Source organism: Homo sapiens, chromosome 15 (genome assembly GCF_000001405.40).
Source record: "Homo sapiens chromosome 15, GRCh38.p14 Primary Assembly".
Classification (NCBI taxonomy): Eukaryota; Metazoa; Chordata; class Mammalia; order Primates; family Hominidae; genus Homo; species Homo sapiens.
In genome coordinates this window covers 48,162,460-48,177,817 of record NC_000015.10, presented here as the reverse complement: position 1 = coordinate 48,177,817, position 15,358 = coordinate 48,162,460, and the positions used below count along the sequence as shown (strand labels likewise).

At 34.3% G+C, this 15,358-nt stretch overlaps 1 protein-coding gene across 13 annotated transcripts in view, besides 1 other annotated feature; it reads left to right on the top strand.

Annotated features, from left to right (window-relative positions):
- MYEF2 (myelin expression factor 2) overlaps positions 1-15,358 on the top strand; it is a 43,664-nt gene that overhangs the window by 478 nt on the left and 27,828 nt on the right. For 9 of the 13 annotated variants that reach the window (XM_017022287.2, XM_005254424.5, XM_017022285.2 and 6 more), the window contains exons 2-5: positions 8,979-9,187; positions 10,417-10,469; positions 11,690-11,697; positions 11,792-11,885. In XM_017022287.2, the coding sequence (XP_016877776.1) occupies positions 8,979-9,187; positions 10,417-10,469; positions 11,690-11,697; positions 11,792-11,885 (364 nt within the window). Of the gene's footprint in view, positions 1-8,978; positions 9,188-10,416; positions 10,470-11,689; positions 11,698-11,791; positions 11,886-15,004; positions 15,142-15,358 lie in introns of those variants that run through there. The other 4 variants (XM_047432636.1, XM_011521657.3, NR_125408.2 and 1 more) reach the window with 3 other exon arrangements.
- Positions 12-181: a silencer, noted in NCBI's record as "silent region_6412". NCBI's record gives its function as "represses an Ori minimal core promoter by ATAC-STARR-seq in GM12878 lymphoblastoid cells {active_cell/tissue: GM12878}" and the evidence as "EXISTENCE:reporter gene assay evidence [ECO:0000049][PMID:35858748]".

The following is a 15,358-nucleotide window of genomic DNA, read 5'->3' as shown; positions in this document are numbered from 1 at the left end:
GACAGCGAACACCCCTCTTCCCTGACTTTGGTTAAAGAATCTTTGAGCAAAGCTCAGCGACCGCCACGGTTTGCAGGAAAATGGTCCCCCTTTAAGGACCAGTAGTTAGTGTTCATCACTAGGGAGTATCTAGGGATGACATCATCGGACATTTCCTCTTAACCACCGAGAACATATTTAAAAGGAATATTCCTGGCTTCTTTCTGAGCTTCACAAGTTTAGTGTTTTGTTGTTTTCTAAAGTGTATGTTCATTTTTAAACTGATTTATACCGAGAGGAAGTTTAATAATGTGCTGTTAGACTCTATGTTTTGTGTTACTCTTGAATTGGCTAGACGTACTTTAAAAAGGGAAATGTGCGATGTGCGTGGCTTCCCTTCCCACTGGGTAATGTGCGTCAGCTGTGGAGAGTATTTTTTTTTTTAACTCAGTGTATGATTATCTTAAGTTTGGTATAATAGATGGTTAAGATTTTTTTTTTCCCAAATGAAGGAAGACTTTTAAGGTCGCAGCTGTCACCAGTGCCTATAAAGAATTTAGTTGACCCCAATCCATAATAATTTCTGGTTCTAGGGAAATGTTATGCTCTCCTTTGTTCCTGTCCTGTGGGAGGATATGAAGTTAAGCGCTTACTTTCATATGCCTACCTCCTTAAACCTGAAGTTGAAAGTATGTTAATAATTAAGTGAAAACATCCTTTTCCTTCTCTGTTATGCCTCAGAGCAGAAAGCAATAGATATATGCTCACAGTAAAATAGACAAGGGAAAGGTCTTTCTGACCTTTGTATAAGCATGTTTGAAATTGTATGGTAAGAACTGGACCAGTCTGTGTAAAAGTTGGTGGCAAAAAAGATGGGGTAGCTCTCCCCAGCTCTTTGACACTCTTGCTCTCAAATGAGTTTGAACAGGATCGGCAGCATCTTCTAGGAGAATAGAGGTGCAGGTATAAGAGATTGGAACTTAGTGGAGTTTATTCCTGGATGAAGAGTGGTGCACCTCAGTAATTGAGGAACCAGAAAGGGAATGAAGTGCTTTCTACCATGCTTGCCAAAATGTGGGCTTTCTGGAATTTGGCATTAAAAATAGAAATGAAAACCGGTGGAATGATAAACTTAAAAATATGTGCTATTCATATCTAAACACGAGTATACATGCCACCTTTTCTCCTGAACAAAAAGTGCAGCCTTGAATTACAGAGAGAAGCCCTCCTATACTTGGGTATGATTAGTTTTGATATAGGGGAAGTTTGGTATCTAAACCTCCATCAGATTTTCTATTCCCTTCTAAAGTCTCTTCATGATTTAGCAAGACAGGAAAAGAGAAAGGAGAAAGGTGGAGAAAGAATCCTTTTCTAATTTAGGAAGAGAAAAATATAAGGTGAAGAAATGAAGAAATATTACTAGTAAATACAGATTATTTCCATATTGCTTATAATTCGCCTCTCCCTTTCTCTTTTTCCCAGAAGTTGAATCGAGTCCAATTTACTCTCAGGGATTTCTCTTACTGTCTATTCCATAAGAAGATTTGTGATGGTCCAGCATGAGTCATTCAAACTGAATAACTAGCGACCTAGTCCTTTTTTTTTTTTTTTTTTTTTTTACTTCGTGAACTAGTAGGAGTGGATAACAACCCCAATACATAAACCTTGAGTTGATTACCATATACTTTTAATAATAAAAATAATTCATTGTTGATTATAAAAATTACCATAATATTGCCCCAAATTATGTATTGGTTGGAATTGAACAGAGTACTGCTTGTCATCAGGATTGAAATAATATTTGCTGAGGTTAATCCATAGTTATTGAGGGTGGGAGACCACTATGTCTTATTCTTCTTTGTATTCTTAAGGCCTAGTAAATATTTGTGGAAGAAATGCAGAAGTGAACTTTCATGCTTATGAAACTCATATACAGGGAATTTAGTTTGCATATTCACACCTTTAGAAAAGATCCGTTTTCCAACTGTAGTCTTCTTCTTTAACGCCAAATGGTATACTAGCTCTCCTTTTCTTAAAAATGAATAGGAGGGAAAAGAGCAGTATTATTATAACTTTATTATTCATGTGTAATTAAGTATAACTTTGGAGTAGGTAGAGATTGAGAGTTATATTAGGGTACTATAAAATATTAAGCATTGGAGCAAGGTAATGTGTTCTTTAGCTGAGTGATTTTTATTAGGAATAAAGACTAGAACTGTTTCCCCCAGCTTTATTGAGGTAAATTGACAAAAATTGTATATTTTGAAGTGTACAGTGTGATGGTTTGGTATACAAATAAATTGTGAAATGATTACCACAATCACGCTAATTAACGTATCTGTTACCTCGCATAGCTACCATATTTTTTGGTGTTGAAAATACTTAAGATCTATTCTTTAAGCAAATTTCAAGTATACAGTAAATATGTTAAGTATAGTCACTATACTGTACCTTAGATCTACAGAACTTACTCATCTTATAACTGAAAGTTTGTGCCCTTAGAACATTTCCCCATCCCCTGCTGCCCTCCACCTCTGGTAAACACCCTTCTACTCTCTGCTTCTGAGTTTGACTTTTTTAAAAGTCTGTGTGTAAGTGAGATCATGTAGCATTTGTCTTTCTGAGTCTGGCTTTTTTCACATAGCCCAATGTCCTCTAGGTTTATCTCTGTTGTTGCAAATGGCAAGATTTTGTTCTTTTTGTAAGGCTGAATAATAATATTCCAGTGTGGATGTGTTGTGTAAACATAAAATATAATATATATCATGTTTCCTTTAATCATTTATCTGTCAATGGACACTTAAGTCGTTGTTTCCATATCTTGGGTATTGTGGATGATGCAGCGAACATGGGAGTGCAGATATCTCCTTGAGATAGTGATTTCATTTTCATTGGATATATACCCAGAAGTGGCATTGATGAATCATGTGGTAGTTCTGTTTTTAATTTTTTGTGGACCCTTGATGCTGTTTTCCATAATGGCTGTACCAATGTATATTCCCACCAGCAGTATCTAAAGGTTCTTTCTCCACGTCCTCAGCAACAGTTGCTATCTTTTGACTTTTCGATAAGTCATCCTAACAGGTATGAAGTGATATTGCAGTCTGGTTTTGAGTTGTATTTCCCTGATGAACAGTGATATTGAGCACCTTTTCATATACCTTTTGGCCGTTGGTATGTCTTCTTTGGAAAAATTATCTGTTTGGATCCTTTTCTCATTTTTTAAATTGGGTTGCTATTGAGTTGTATGGGTTCCTTATACATTTTTGATATTAATCCCTTATTGGATATATGGTTTGCAAATTTTATCTCTCATTTCTTAGGTTGCCTTTTTATTTTGTTGAGTTTCCTTTGCTGTGCAATAACTTTTTACTTTGATGTAGTCCCAGTTGTTTACTTTTGTTTGTGTTGTCTGTGCTTTTGGTGTCATATCAAAAAAAAAAAAAATCATTGCCAAGGCCAAGGTCATGGAGCTTTTCTCTTGTGTTTTCTTCTAGGAGTTCCATGGTTTTAGGTGTTATAAGTTTTTAATCCATTTTCATTTTGTTTTGTATGTGGATATCTAGTTTTCCCAATACCATTTTTTGAAGAGACTGTCCTTTCACCATTGTATATTTTTGGTGCCTTTGTCAAGGATTAGTTTACCATATATTGGGGATGTGTTTTTGAGTGTTTGTTATGCTCCATTGGTCTGTGTGTCTGTTTTTGTACCAGTACCATATTGTTTTGATTACTATAGATTTGTAATATAACTTGAATCAGGTAGTGTGGTACTTTTAGTTTTTTCTTCTTGTTTAAGCTTGCTTTAGCCATTTGAGATCTTTTATGGTTCATACGGATTTCAGGAATTTTTCCGTTTCTGTGAAAAATGCTGTTAGAATTTTGATAGAGATCACATTGAATTTATAGGTCATTTTGGGTAGGAAGGACATTTTGACAATATTAATTCCTCTCATCTGTGAACATGGAATATCTTTCATTTGTATTATTTTCAATTTCTTTTATCATTGTTTGATCGTTTTTCAGTGTATAGCTCTTTAGCTTTCTTGGTTAAATTTATTTCTAGGTATTTTATTCTTTCTGATGCTATTTTAAATGAGATTATGTTCTTAATTTTTTGGATAGTTCATTATTATTAGTGTGTAGATATGCAGTGGATTTTTGAATGTTGACTTTGTATTCTATAACTTTACTGAATTTGTTCTAATAGTTTTTTTGGTGTTGTCTTTAAAATTTTCTCTGAATAATTTTCTATATAAGATCACATCTTCTGCAAACAGAGTTAATTTTACTTCTTTCTCTCCAATTTGGTTGCCTTTTATGTCTTTTATTTGCCTAATTGCTCTGGCTGTGACCTTCAGTACAATGTTGAATAGAAGTGGTGAGCATGGGCATCTTCTCTTTTTCCTGCTCTTAGAGGTAAAACCTTCAAATTTTCACTGTTGAGTATGACATTAGCTATGGGGTTGTCATATATGACCTTTATTGTGTTGAGGAACATTCCTTCTATACTGAATTTGTTGAGAGTGTTTATCTTGAAAGGATGTTGAGTTTTGTCAAATGCTTTTTCTGGATCTATTGAGATGATCCTTGATTTTTAAAAAATCCTTCATTCTGTTAATGTGGTGTATAACATTTATTGATTTATGTATGTCATCCTTGCGTCCCTGATATAGATACCATTTGATTATGGTGTATGATCCTTTTAATGTGCTGTTGAATTTAGTTTGCTAGTATTTTGTTGAGAATTTTCACATCTGTGATCATCAGGGATATTGCTGTAATTTTCTTTTCTTGTAGGATCCTTGTCTTGCGTTGTTATCAGGGTAATCTTGGCCTTATAAAATGATTTGAAAGACTTTCCTCATGTTCAGTTTTTTGGAACAGTTTGACAAGGATTGGTATTAGTTCTTAAATGTTTGGTAGAATTTACCAGGTCCTGGGCTTCTCTTTCTTGGGAGATTTTTGATTACTGACTCCATCTCCCTTGTTAGTGGACAGTTCAGATTTTCTAATTTTTCATGATTCAGCCTTGGTGAGTTGTATATTTCCAGGAATTTATTAATTTCTTCTAAGTTATCCAATTTGTTGGTATATAATTGTTAATAGTAGTTTCTTATGATTCTCTGTATTTCTGTGGTATCTGTTATAATGTCTCCTCTTTGATTTCTTTATATATTTTTCTATTTTTTCCTCTTTGATTTCTGATTGTTTTTCCCCCTTAATCTAGTTTGATCTTTGTCAGTTTTGCTTATCTTTCAAAAACCAACTTTTAATTTTATTGATCTTTTCTATTGTTTTTCTAGTATATTTCATTTATTTTTGCCCTGATTTTCATTATTTTCTTCTTTCTACTAAGTTTGGACTGAGCTCTTTTTTCTAGTTCCTTGAGGTGTAAAGTTAGGTTGTTGGAGATCTTTATTCTTTTTTTTTTTTTTGATACAGAGTCTTGCTCTGTATCAAAAAAAAAATGTGCAATGGTGTGATCTTGGCTCACTGCAACCTCTGCCTCCTGGGTTCAGGTGAATCTCCTGCCTCAGCCTCCCAAGCAGCTGGGATTACAGGCATGCATCACTACGTCTGGCTAATTTTTGTATTTTTAGTAGAGACGGGGTTTCACCATGTTGGCCAGGTTCATCTCGAACTCCTGACCTCAAGTCACCCACCTGCCTTGGCCTCCCAAAGTGCCGGGATTACAGATGTGAGCCACTGCACCTGGCCTGGAGGTCGTTTTTCTTAATGTAGACATTTACTGCTCTGAACTGCCCTCTGGTAGTTTTCCTCTGGAACTGGGATTAATATTGGATCTCATACTACACCATTATACTTTTAAAATCACACATTAAAACTATGTTTCTTCTTTTGATGTTGGAGCTTGATTTTTTTCAGAAATGTATGTTATAATTTAGATACGCATAGTTCAATTTTAAGAATAGATAACATTTTTATGACTATTTTAGGGTTTTTATTTTAAGTACATTGTGGGAGTGGTTGTCTAAATGAACAGTTTGGGAATTTAGTACTTGGAATTCTGGATGTAGTACCAATATTTTGGAATTATGTAGCATCATTTCCTTAAGAGTTTTCACATATATTTTTACTTTCTCTTCCAAAGTATTTATGACTTGGAAATAGTTCAGAAATTATATAATTATGGCTCAGTTTCTTAATAATTAGATCATCCCTGTAGCCTCTCAACTGTTATGCCTTTTATAGTTTTTTTTCTTTTTTTGTTATACACTGGGAAGAAACTTAAGATAAATTTTAATTCTACATCATAGATGAGCAGTTTAGCAGTATTTTTAAGATGCTTCTTATGGGGGAAAAATGAAGAAATTTACTTTCTCTGATCATCTTTGAGTAAATATTTTAAAGAAAATATTATATATAATGTTACTGTTTTTAATGGAATTTTCAGATTGTTGTAAGCAAATATTTAATCTATGTAACCCCACCTAAGTCAAGAATAGAACATTGTAAGTACTTCAGAACTTTGTGTAATTTTCACAATTGGTTTAATCCAGGAAGAAAATAGGCAGGGGAAGGGGTATTAATCTAGAGACTATATAGATATCTGCTTACTGAATAGAGTCTTAGTTACTTTACAAACATTCACTGAATTCATCTAAGCCTATTATGTAAACAGGCCCTTTGGGAATTGAAAAGAAAGGTTTGTTCTTCTATCTGCGGTACTCAGAAACCAGAGAAAAGGCCTTTGTGCCTTTTGGCTGCTTGCTGCCATTTTCAAAAGTGTCACTCTGTTTAGACAGGTAGGTACTTTCTAGATTTAGACAGTTGAGAAGACTCCCCCCTAGGCCATGCCATTTCTGATGAAGGAATATGTTTGATAGTGAAGATGTCCTTTTTAAGGTCTAAAAAAAATGGCAAAGCAAGTTTGGTCCAAATGTCTCTTTCTTTATTCTAGCAGTTTTTCTGGCAACATCTGTGCTCAGATGAGTATGGATTCTTAATTGACTGTTAATTCATTAAAAAATTATAGCACAATGTTATATGCAGTCACCGTGCGAGGTGCTGCTGATACCAAAGCAGATAGTTTTTGTTCTCATAGAGTTTACATACTATATTTATGGCTGTGTTACCTACAAAGAAGAGTAGTGTTCAAGAAGCTCTGTATATATTATGTAACAAATGACTGCAGTTAGAGGTGTGTGGAGCATTGCAATGTGTGGATCACCAGAATTGCTGGGCTTAGAAGATAATTTAGAGCCTGGCTCATGAAACTTGGTTTGTTGTCAGAATAATCCAGAAAGCTTTAAAAAAAATTTAGATTCCTGGGTGTCATCCACAGTGATATTATTAGTAATGTTTGTGAAAAATTGCTTTAAAATTGAAGTTTTGTTATTAAAATAGTTTTAAATTGACTAGAGCACTTATTTAAATAAGAAATCTATTGGCCGGGCACGGTGGCTCACACCTGTAATCCCAGCACTTTGGGAGGCCGAGGCGGGTGGATCACCAGAGGTCAGGAGTTTGAGACCAGCCTGGCCAACATGGTGAAACCCTGTCTCTACTAAAAATACAAAAATTAGCTGGGTGTAGTGGCAGACACCTGTAATTCCAGCTACTTGGGAGGCTGAGGAAGGAGAATTCCTTGAACCCAGGAGGCGGAGATTGCAGTGAGCCGAGATCTTGCCACTGTACTCCAGCCTGGGTGACAGAATGAGACTGTATCTCAAACAACAACAACAACAACAACAGCAACAAAAACCCCCACAAAAAACCCTATTGTTTGTGCTGTAAAAAAGACTTGTTTTGAAAAGTAAATTGCATTTTAAAATAGAAATCCAAATTTTTATCTGTAGGGTTTAAGTGTATGCCTACATCTTTTGGATGGTTGGCATATGACATCATAGAGTTGCATTGTGATTACGGTATTATAAATTACTTTTTTTTCTAGTTAAGGCCTCATTAAAAATCAGGTTTGGCCAGGCGTGGTGGCTCACGCCTGTAATCCCAGCACTTTGGGAGGCGAGGTGAGTGGATCACGAGGTCAGGAGTTCAAGATCAGCCTGGCCAAGATGATGAAACCCCGTCTCTACTAAAAATACAAAAAATTAGCTGGGCATGGTGGTGGGCACCTGTAATCCCAGCTGCTCAGGAGGCTAAGGCAGAGAATTGCTTGGACCTGGGAGGCGGAGGTTGCAGTGAGTCGAGATTGCACCACTGCACTCCAGCCTGGGTGACAGAGCAAAACTCCGTCTCAAAAAAAAAAAAAAAATCAGGTTTATAAAATTTTGGCTTACGTTGCTTTTATGTACTGCTTCTGTCCTACATTACCCATTGTAGGTAATATTAATGAAACTGCATAATTTGATGAAGTACCCTATTCTAGTTTATAGGTTAAAATGTAACATAAAATATTAGGATACTTTATAAGTTTTCTGTGTTGATCAAAATTGGGAATAGAAGAAAGTTTGAGAGTCTTAATGTGAGTATATTCATATATAGATGTGGATTTATATACATAACTTTGTATTTTAATTATGCTTCTAATTAAGGGAGGAGAAAGTTCTGAGAAGAAACTATTAACCTTTAAGAGATGAACTTTTTCAGAGTATCACTGTGTAAGTTAGTTTTTAAAAAAGTTTTTAATGATGCCCAGAAAGTTAATTCTCCATCAAAGGTGGCAGTTTTAGATACCTTAGAAGTAAAATTATCTGCTCTTCCCTCTGTTCCAGTCTAATAGCATTTATTAATTAAGTAGTGTGATGGGAAAAACTGGGTGATTGTTTGGATGCTTACAACTATTTAATGTGGGAAAAAAATGAGGACTGTTAAATGAGAAACCAAATCCTTGCTTTGAAATAGCATTGGGTAATTTCAAAGCTCTCAGGCTGATTCTCCAGCTACTTTGCTGAGGTCTAGCTTAGTGGAGAGTTTTGTGAGGTGATAAATATGGAATACTTATTTAATATAGACTTCCATTCTTATAAGCACAACTGAGGGTTTTTGTTTGTTTGACTTTTTTTAATTCACAGGGAGAATGATGAATCAGCAAAAGAAGAGAAATCTGACTTAAAGGAAAAATCTACAGGAAGTAAGAAGGCCAATAGATTTCATCCTTATTCAAAAGACAAGAATTCGGGCGCTGGAGAAAAGAAGGGTCCAAATCGTAACAGAGTTTTCATTAGCAACATCCCATATGACATGAAATGGCAAGCTATTAAAGATCTAATGAGAGAGAAAGGTAACTATCTCTGAAATAACCCACTGTTGGATAATCTTCATATAGGCAGGGGAGGGAACTACACAAACATTTTTATTCCTCTGAGCCACACAGACTCAAAAAATTGATTTTTATTTCTTGACATGTGAATTAATCTTTTCCTCTTCTTTCTCTTGACACAATTTCATTACAAGGTAGTATGGATATTTTTCTTTTTGCCATTTTAGTGGGATAGTAGCGAGCCAGCATATGCATGCCACCAAGAATTTTGTTAAAGTGATTGCTTTGTCTAGTTGAAGTTTTTATAGATTTTAAAAGGGCTATTGCATTAGTTAAGCAATACATTTAGCGTGTTAAGAATGAATAATAAGGTCTGATTATTTATTTTTTTTCCAAAAGCTGTTTTGTTACTATCTTGGTGGAGTCTGGAATCTGGCTGTGGAATTTATTTTGTTTGCATTGTCATGACTGCCATGATGCTGTCTTTGCAGTTCTAAATTAAAATTGCATTACTGCTGTTGCAGTTTTGTTTTCAGAATAATCTGAAAACCTTCATCTTATATACATGGTTGGTTTTGGGGAAAAATAATTTTAATACTTGATCTTGTAAAAGTTAGTTTTGTTATCTCTTGAAAAATTGAGTTTCAACAGTCCTGCAAACTATGTACTTGGCTTTGAGGCTGATCTCTTCTAATAAATTTTTTTTTTTAAATTGCATTGGTGTATCTGTTGTAAGGTGACAACTATTTGATTGGTTTTATTCATTGACTTTATTTAGAAAGTGTGTGGCTTGCTGTGAAGCATGATTTGTAAATTTAGTTTACTGATGGCAAACATGATTGAAGACATTCAGGTAGAAAGTCACCTTAAAACAGCTGTTGTGTGTAGGCTGACCAAAGTTATTTGAAAAGTGCTAATGTTGATGTTTTTTAATATGATAGGTTAAGGGACCATTTGTATGTATATGTGCATTTGTTCACCAACTATATCATGCTGGCCAAAATATGATCTGTAGTATGAATTAGGTTAATATGGTTGTTAGCTTTTTTTTAGAGAATGTGGATGATGTACATTTCTGAAAATTAGTTAAATTTACATAGCCATTGATAGGAGGTATGTTGGTCTGGTTTTGATTGTTGGTGAATAATAGGTGCTTCTCTGTAGAGTTGTGCACAGGTGTGCAGTAAAGCAAGATACTGGTGTTTAAATGTATTGTTTCTTGGTATCTTCCTTTTGTATGTCTTATGTAGTTGGTGAGGTTACATACGTGGAGCTCTTTAAGGATGCGGAAGGAAAATCAAGGGTAAGTGCTGTGGGCAATAATCTGCTTGAGGTTTAAAAGTTCCTCAGCAGTTTACTTTTTGTATAATACTTGTACCAGTTTTTGGAAACTTAAGTTTCATTTTGTTTTACTTTATTATGCAAGATTTGAGGCTCTATACCAGCAAGTCTGACACTTATACAAACCTAGCTGCCTGGAAGGGATGGGTTTTGTAAACACTCCAAAGGGGCATTCACTTTTCCAATGCTCTAAGGTAATACTTCTTCTTAGCCAATAAGATTTTAGCATAGGATTTTTTTTGTTGTATTTTGATGTCTTCAAGGATACTTTAAAAGTCACTGAATTGATAATATTCCTGAGTTTTTTGAGGGCTATAGCTTAAAGGTGTTAGTTCAGAATGTATTTTTGAAATTTTACTGAAAAGTTAAATTTGGTAGCCTGCAGGACTACATGAGAGGCAGTGCTCTGACCAATTGGTATGAATGACATTTACGATTATATTGACGTAGAAGGAATTGGTTGATAGTATATTTTGATTTTTAGCAATAAGAATGCAGTATACTGAAGAATACAATGGAAAACTCTTAGCAATGTTTCATTATGTTAGTAAAACTAGTTGGGTGCATGATGAATAAAAATTTTGTCATTACATTCATATGGGACTTTGAATGGCAATCACAGGGAATTATTTTTTAAATAACTCTCCAAATTAATTTATTATTAGTTTATAGATGATTTTTACATACTTCCAACTGGGTGCTGTTAAATGTGCAGCCAGTTTTAATCTAATAGAGAACTTGTTAAAAATAAAATTAATATTTATTCACTATTTTGATTTTAATAGAGTTGAAAAATATGTCGTAGACAATACATTTTTTGAAAATATTTGTAACTACAGAAGGATAGGTCTATTGGAGCCTTTAGTTATTTCCTTGAATTCCTGTTGATTTAATTTGTGCAGTGACATTAATTTTAACTTAATGAAAAGTCACCTAAAAGTGAAAAATGTGCTCCAAGCTTGTTACATGTTAGAGTCTACTATCTTTAATAGATATATTTAAAAATTTAGAGAAAATTTGTGGTTACTTGCCTGTTATGTTCTGGAGGTATAAAAGATGAAGTGATTCTACCATATTATTAATTGCCTTAATGATTGAAATGTTAGAACTGATTATTAACTTCATGTACTGATCTAAAACTTTTTTTCTTTTGCATATTTTGACAAATCTACCTGGATATAGGGTTGTGGGTAAGAAATTTTTTCTTTAAGTATCTTAAGTCAAATTAAACTTTGGAAAAAAATTAGCACATAAACATTTCCTATAAATTTTTTCCCTATTAAGTGTGGTTGAATTCAAAGATGAAGAATTTGTAAAGAAAGCCCTAGAAACTATGAACAAATATGATCTTAGTGGAAGACCCCTTAATATTAAAGAGGTAAGATTTCTCATATTTAGAATTTAAACATTTGACTATAAAGACATGTTTTCCTTGGATTTTCAATTTGGTAATATATTTGCCTGACTACAACTTTTTTTTAAAACATAGGTGTTCATTAAAGCATTATATATTGACGAAAGTTTTACTTGTACATGATTTTATATTTGCTGTTAAGCAGTTATCCTATATACTTGATTGGTTCCAAGTTGTTAAAAATAAAAGCACATAATTTAAAAAAATTTGAGGACCTAGAAATTCAAAGGGGATAAACTTTAGGTGCTAAGTTTATTTGGTACAGACATTTTCAATATTTAGATTTTGTTATTTGAGAAATATAATATCCTTGTAATTGATAATTAAAGGTCACTTAATGCAAATATGTTATGGATTTGAATAAAATTGATATTCACTTTTTATCAGAGTTACTTGGAAACTGTACTAGATTAAAATTTAAGAAAAATTATAACTTTGTTAGTGAAATTTATAACTAGAAGTTGGAATCCCCTAAAATGGAAATGTCTTCTTTGTACAAAATTGTAGCAGTGTAAACAGGTTGACAAAAAATGACTAGAAGATACAAACAAAAAATTTACAGTTTAACCTTGAGAATGATTGGCTTGAATAGCACTCATCTTCATAGGTTCCTTTATTTTGTATTGTTAATCTTAATAGTTTGATTACAGACCTGTTATGTACATATACTTGCTAAAGTCTGTGTTAAAAGAGATAAATAGTGTAACTTTGGGACCCTGAAGATTTTGTACTAATACTGATGCTAATCATTGGTTGTAGAGCAGTACTGTCACCCATGGCATTTAATAGTATACTAATGATTTGATTCCTGGCTTTATCACTTTCTAGTGGGTGTCTAGACATGCTACTTAATTTCTCTAAACTGAAGTAATGGTAGTAGTACTACTGATAATAGAGGCATACCTTGGAGCTATTGTAGGTTTGGTTCCAGACTACTGCAATAAAGCAAATATAACAATAAACTGTGTCATATGTATGTTTTGGTTTTGCAGTACACATAAAAGTTACGTTTATACTATATTCTGTTTAAAGTGTGCAATAGCATTATGTCTAAAAGCACAATATACATGCCTTAATTTAAAAATACTTTATTGCTGAAAATGCTAGTGATCATTTGAACTTTCACTGTAACCTTTTTGCTGGTGGAGAGTCTTGCCTCAGTGCTGATGGCTGCTGACTGATCAGGGTGATGGTTACTAAAGTTTGGGGTGGCTGTTGCAATTTCTTAAATTAAGAACAATGAAGTTTGCTGTATCAGTTGAGTCTTCCTTTCATAATAGATTTCTCTGAAGCATGTGATGTTGTTTGATAGCATTTTACCTACGGTTGAACTTCCTTCAAAATTGAAGTCAGTCCTCTCAAACCTGCTGCTGCTTTATCAATTAAATTTATATAATATTCTAAATCCTTTGTTGTCATTTCAACAGTGTACATAGCATATTCACCAGGTGTAGATTCCATCTCAAGAAATGACTTTCTTTGCTCATACAAGAAGTAACTCCTAATTTGTTTAGGTTTTATCATGAGTTTACAGCAATTTATTCACATCTTCAGGATCCACTTCTAATTCTAGTTTTCTTGCTCTTTCCATCACATCTTCAGTTACATCCACCATTGAAATCTTGAAGCCCTCAAAGTCATCCATTAGGATTAGAATCCACTTATTCCAAACTCCTGTTAGTATTGATATTTTGACCTTATGAATCACAGATGTTCTTAATGACATCTAGAATGGTACATTCTTTCCAGAAGGTTTTTAATTTACTTTGCCCAGGTCTATCAGAGGAATCACTGTCTATGACAGCAATAGCCTTACAAATTGTATTTCTTAAATAATCAGGCTTGAAAGTTAAAATTATTTCTTGATTGATGGGTTACAGAGTGGATATTGTGTTAATAGACCTGCAAACAACATTAGTCTTCTTGTATATCTTCTTTAGCACTCTTGGGTGACAAGTGCATTGTCAATGAGCAGTAATATTTCAAAAGGATTTTTTTTTTGAGCAAGAGGTCTCAACAGTGGGCTTAAAATATTCAGCAAACTATCCTTAAACAGGTGTGCTGTCATCCAGGCTTTGTTATTTCATTTACAGAGCACAGACAGAGTAGATTTAGCCTAATTATTAAGGGCCCTAGGATTTTCAGAATGGTAAATGAGCATTGGCTTCAAGTCAATTAAGGTTACCAGTTGCATTAGCCCCTAATAAAAGAGTCAATGTGGCCTTTGAAGCTTTGAAGCCAAACACTGACTTCTCCCTTCTAACTCTGAAAGTCCTAGATGGCATCTTCTTTCTATAGAAGACTGTTTCATTACACTGAAAATCTATTGTTTAGTGTAGCCATCTCATCAATGATCTTAGCTAGGTGTTCTGGATAACTTTCTGTAGCTTCTACATCAGCACTTGCTGCTTCACTTGCACTTTTATGTTATAGAGATGGCTTCTTTCTTTAAATCTCATGAACCAGCTTCAAACTTTTCTTCTGCAGCTTTCTCACCTCTCTCAGCCTTCATAGAATTGAAGAGAGTTAAGGCCTTACTCTGGATTAGGCTTTGGCTTAAGGGAATGATGAGGGTGCTTTGATCTTCTGTTCAAACCACTGAAACTTTCAGACCACTGAAATGTTATAAGCACAAACAAGTGAAGTATCTTAATAGTTCAAGAAGCATCTTCTGTGTTGTGTTATCCTTCTTCCCCAAAGGTAACCGGTATCTTAAATTTTGTGTTTTTACCTGTTTTTGAAACAGCATTAAGGCTGTTTCACTTTCTCATCATTCGTGCGTTCACTGGAGTAGCACTTTAAGTTTCCTTCAGGAACTTCGATGCAAGAGGCCCGGCTTTTCACCTGTCTGAACTTTTGACATGCCTTCCTCACTAAGCTTAATCATGTCTAACTTTTGATTTAAAGTGAGAGACTTGCAACTCTTTCTTTTACTTGAACACTTAGAAGCCATTTTAGGGTTATTAACTGACCTAATTTCAATATTATTGTGTCTTGGAATAGGGAGGCCTGAGGCGACGGAGAGAGATGGGGAGCGGCTGGTCGGTGGAGCAGTCAGAACATTTATTGATTAAGTTCGCTGTTTTATTTGGGCACGGTTGATGGTGCCCCAAAACAATTAAAACATCAAAGATCACTGATCACAGATCACCATAACAGATAATAATGAAGAAGGTTGAGATATTGCATGAATTACCAAAATGTGATACGGAGACACAAAGTGAGCACATGTTGGGAAAATGGTGCTAATAGACTTGCCGGACACGGGGTTGTCACAGACCTTCAATTTGCAAAAAGTGCAATATCTGCAAAGCACAGTAAAGTGAAGCACAATAAAATGAAATGTGCTTTTATTTACCTAATAGGATTTTTATGAGGATTAAATGAGATACATGGTAAAGAACTTATGTTCTGGCATCAGAGAACCTCTCTAACTC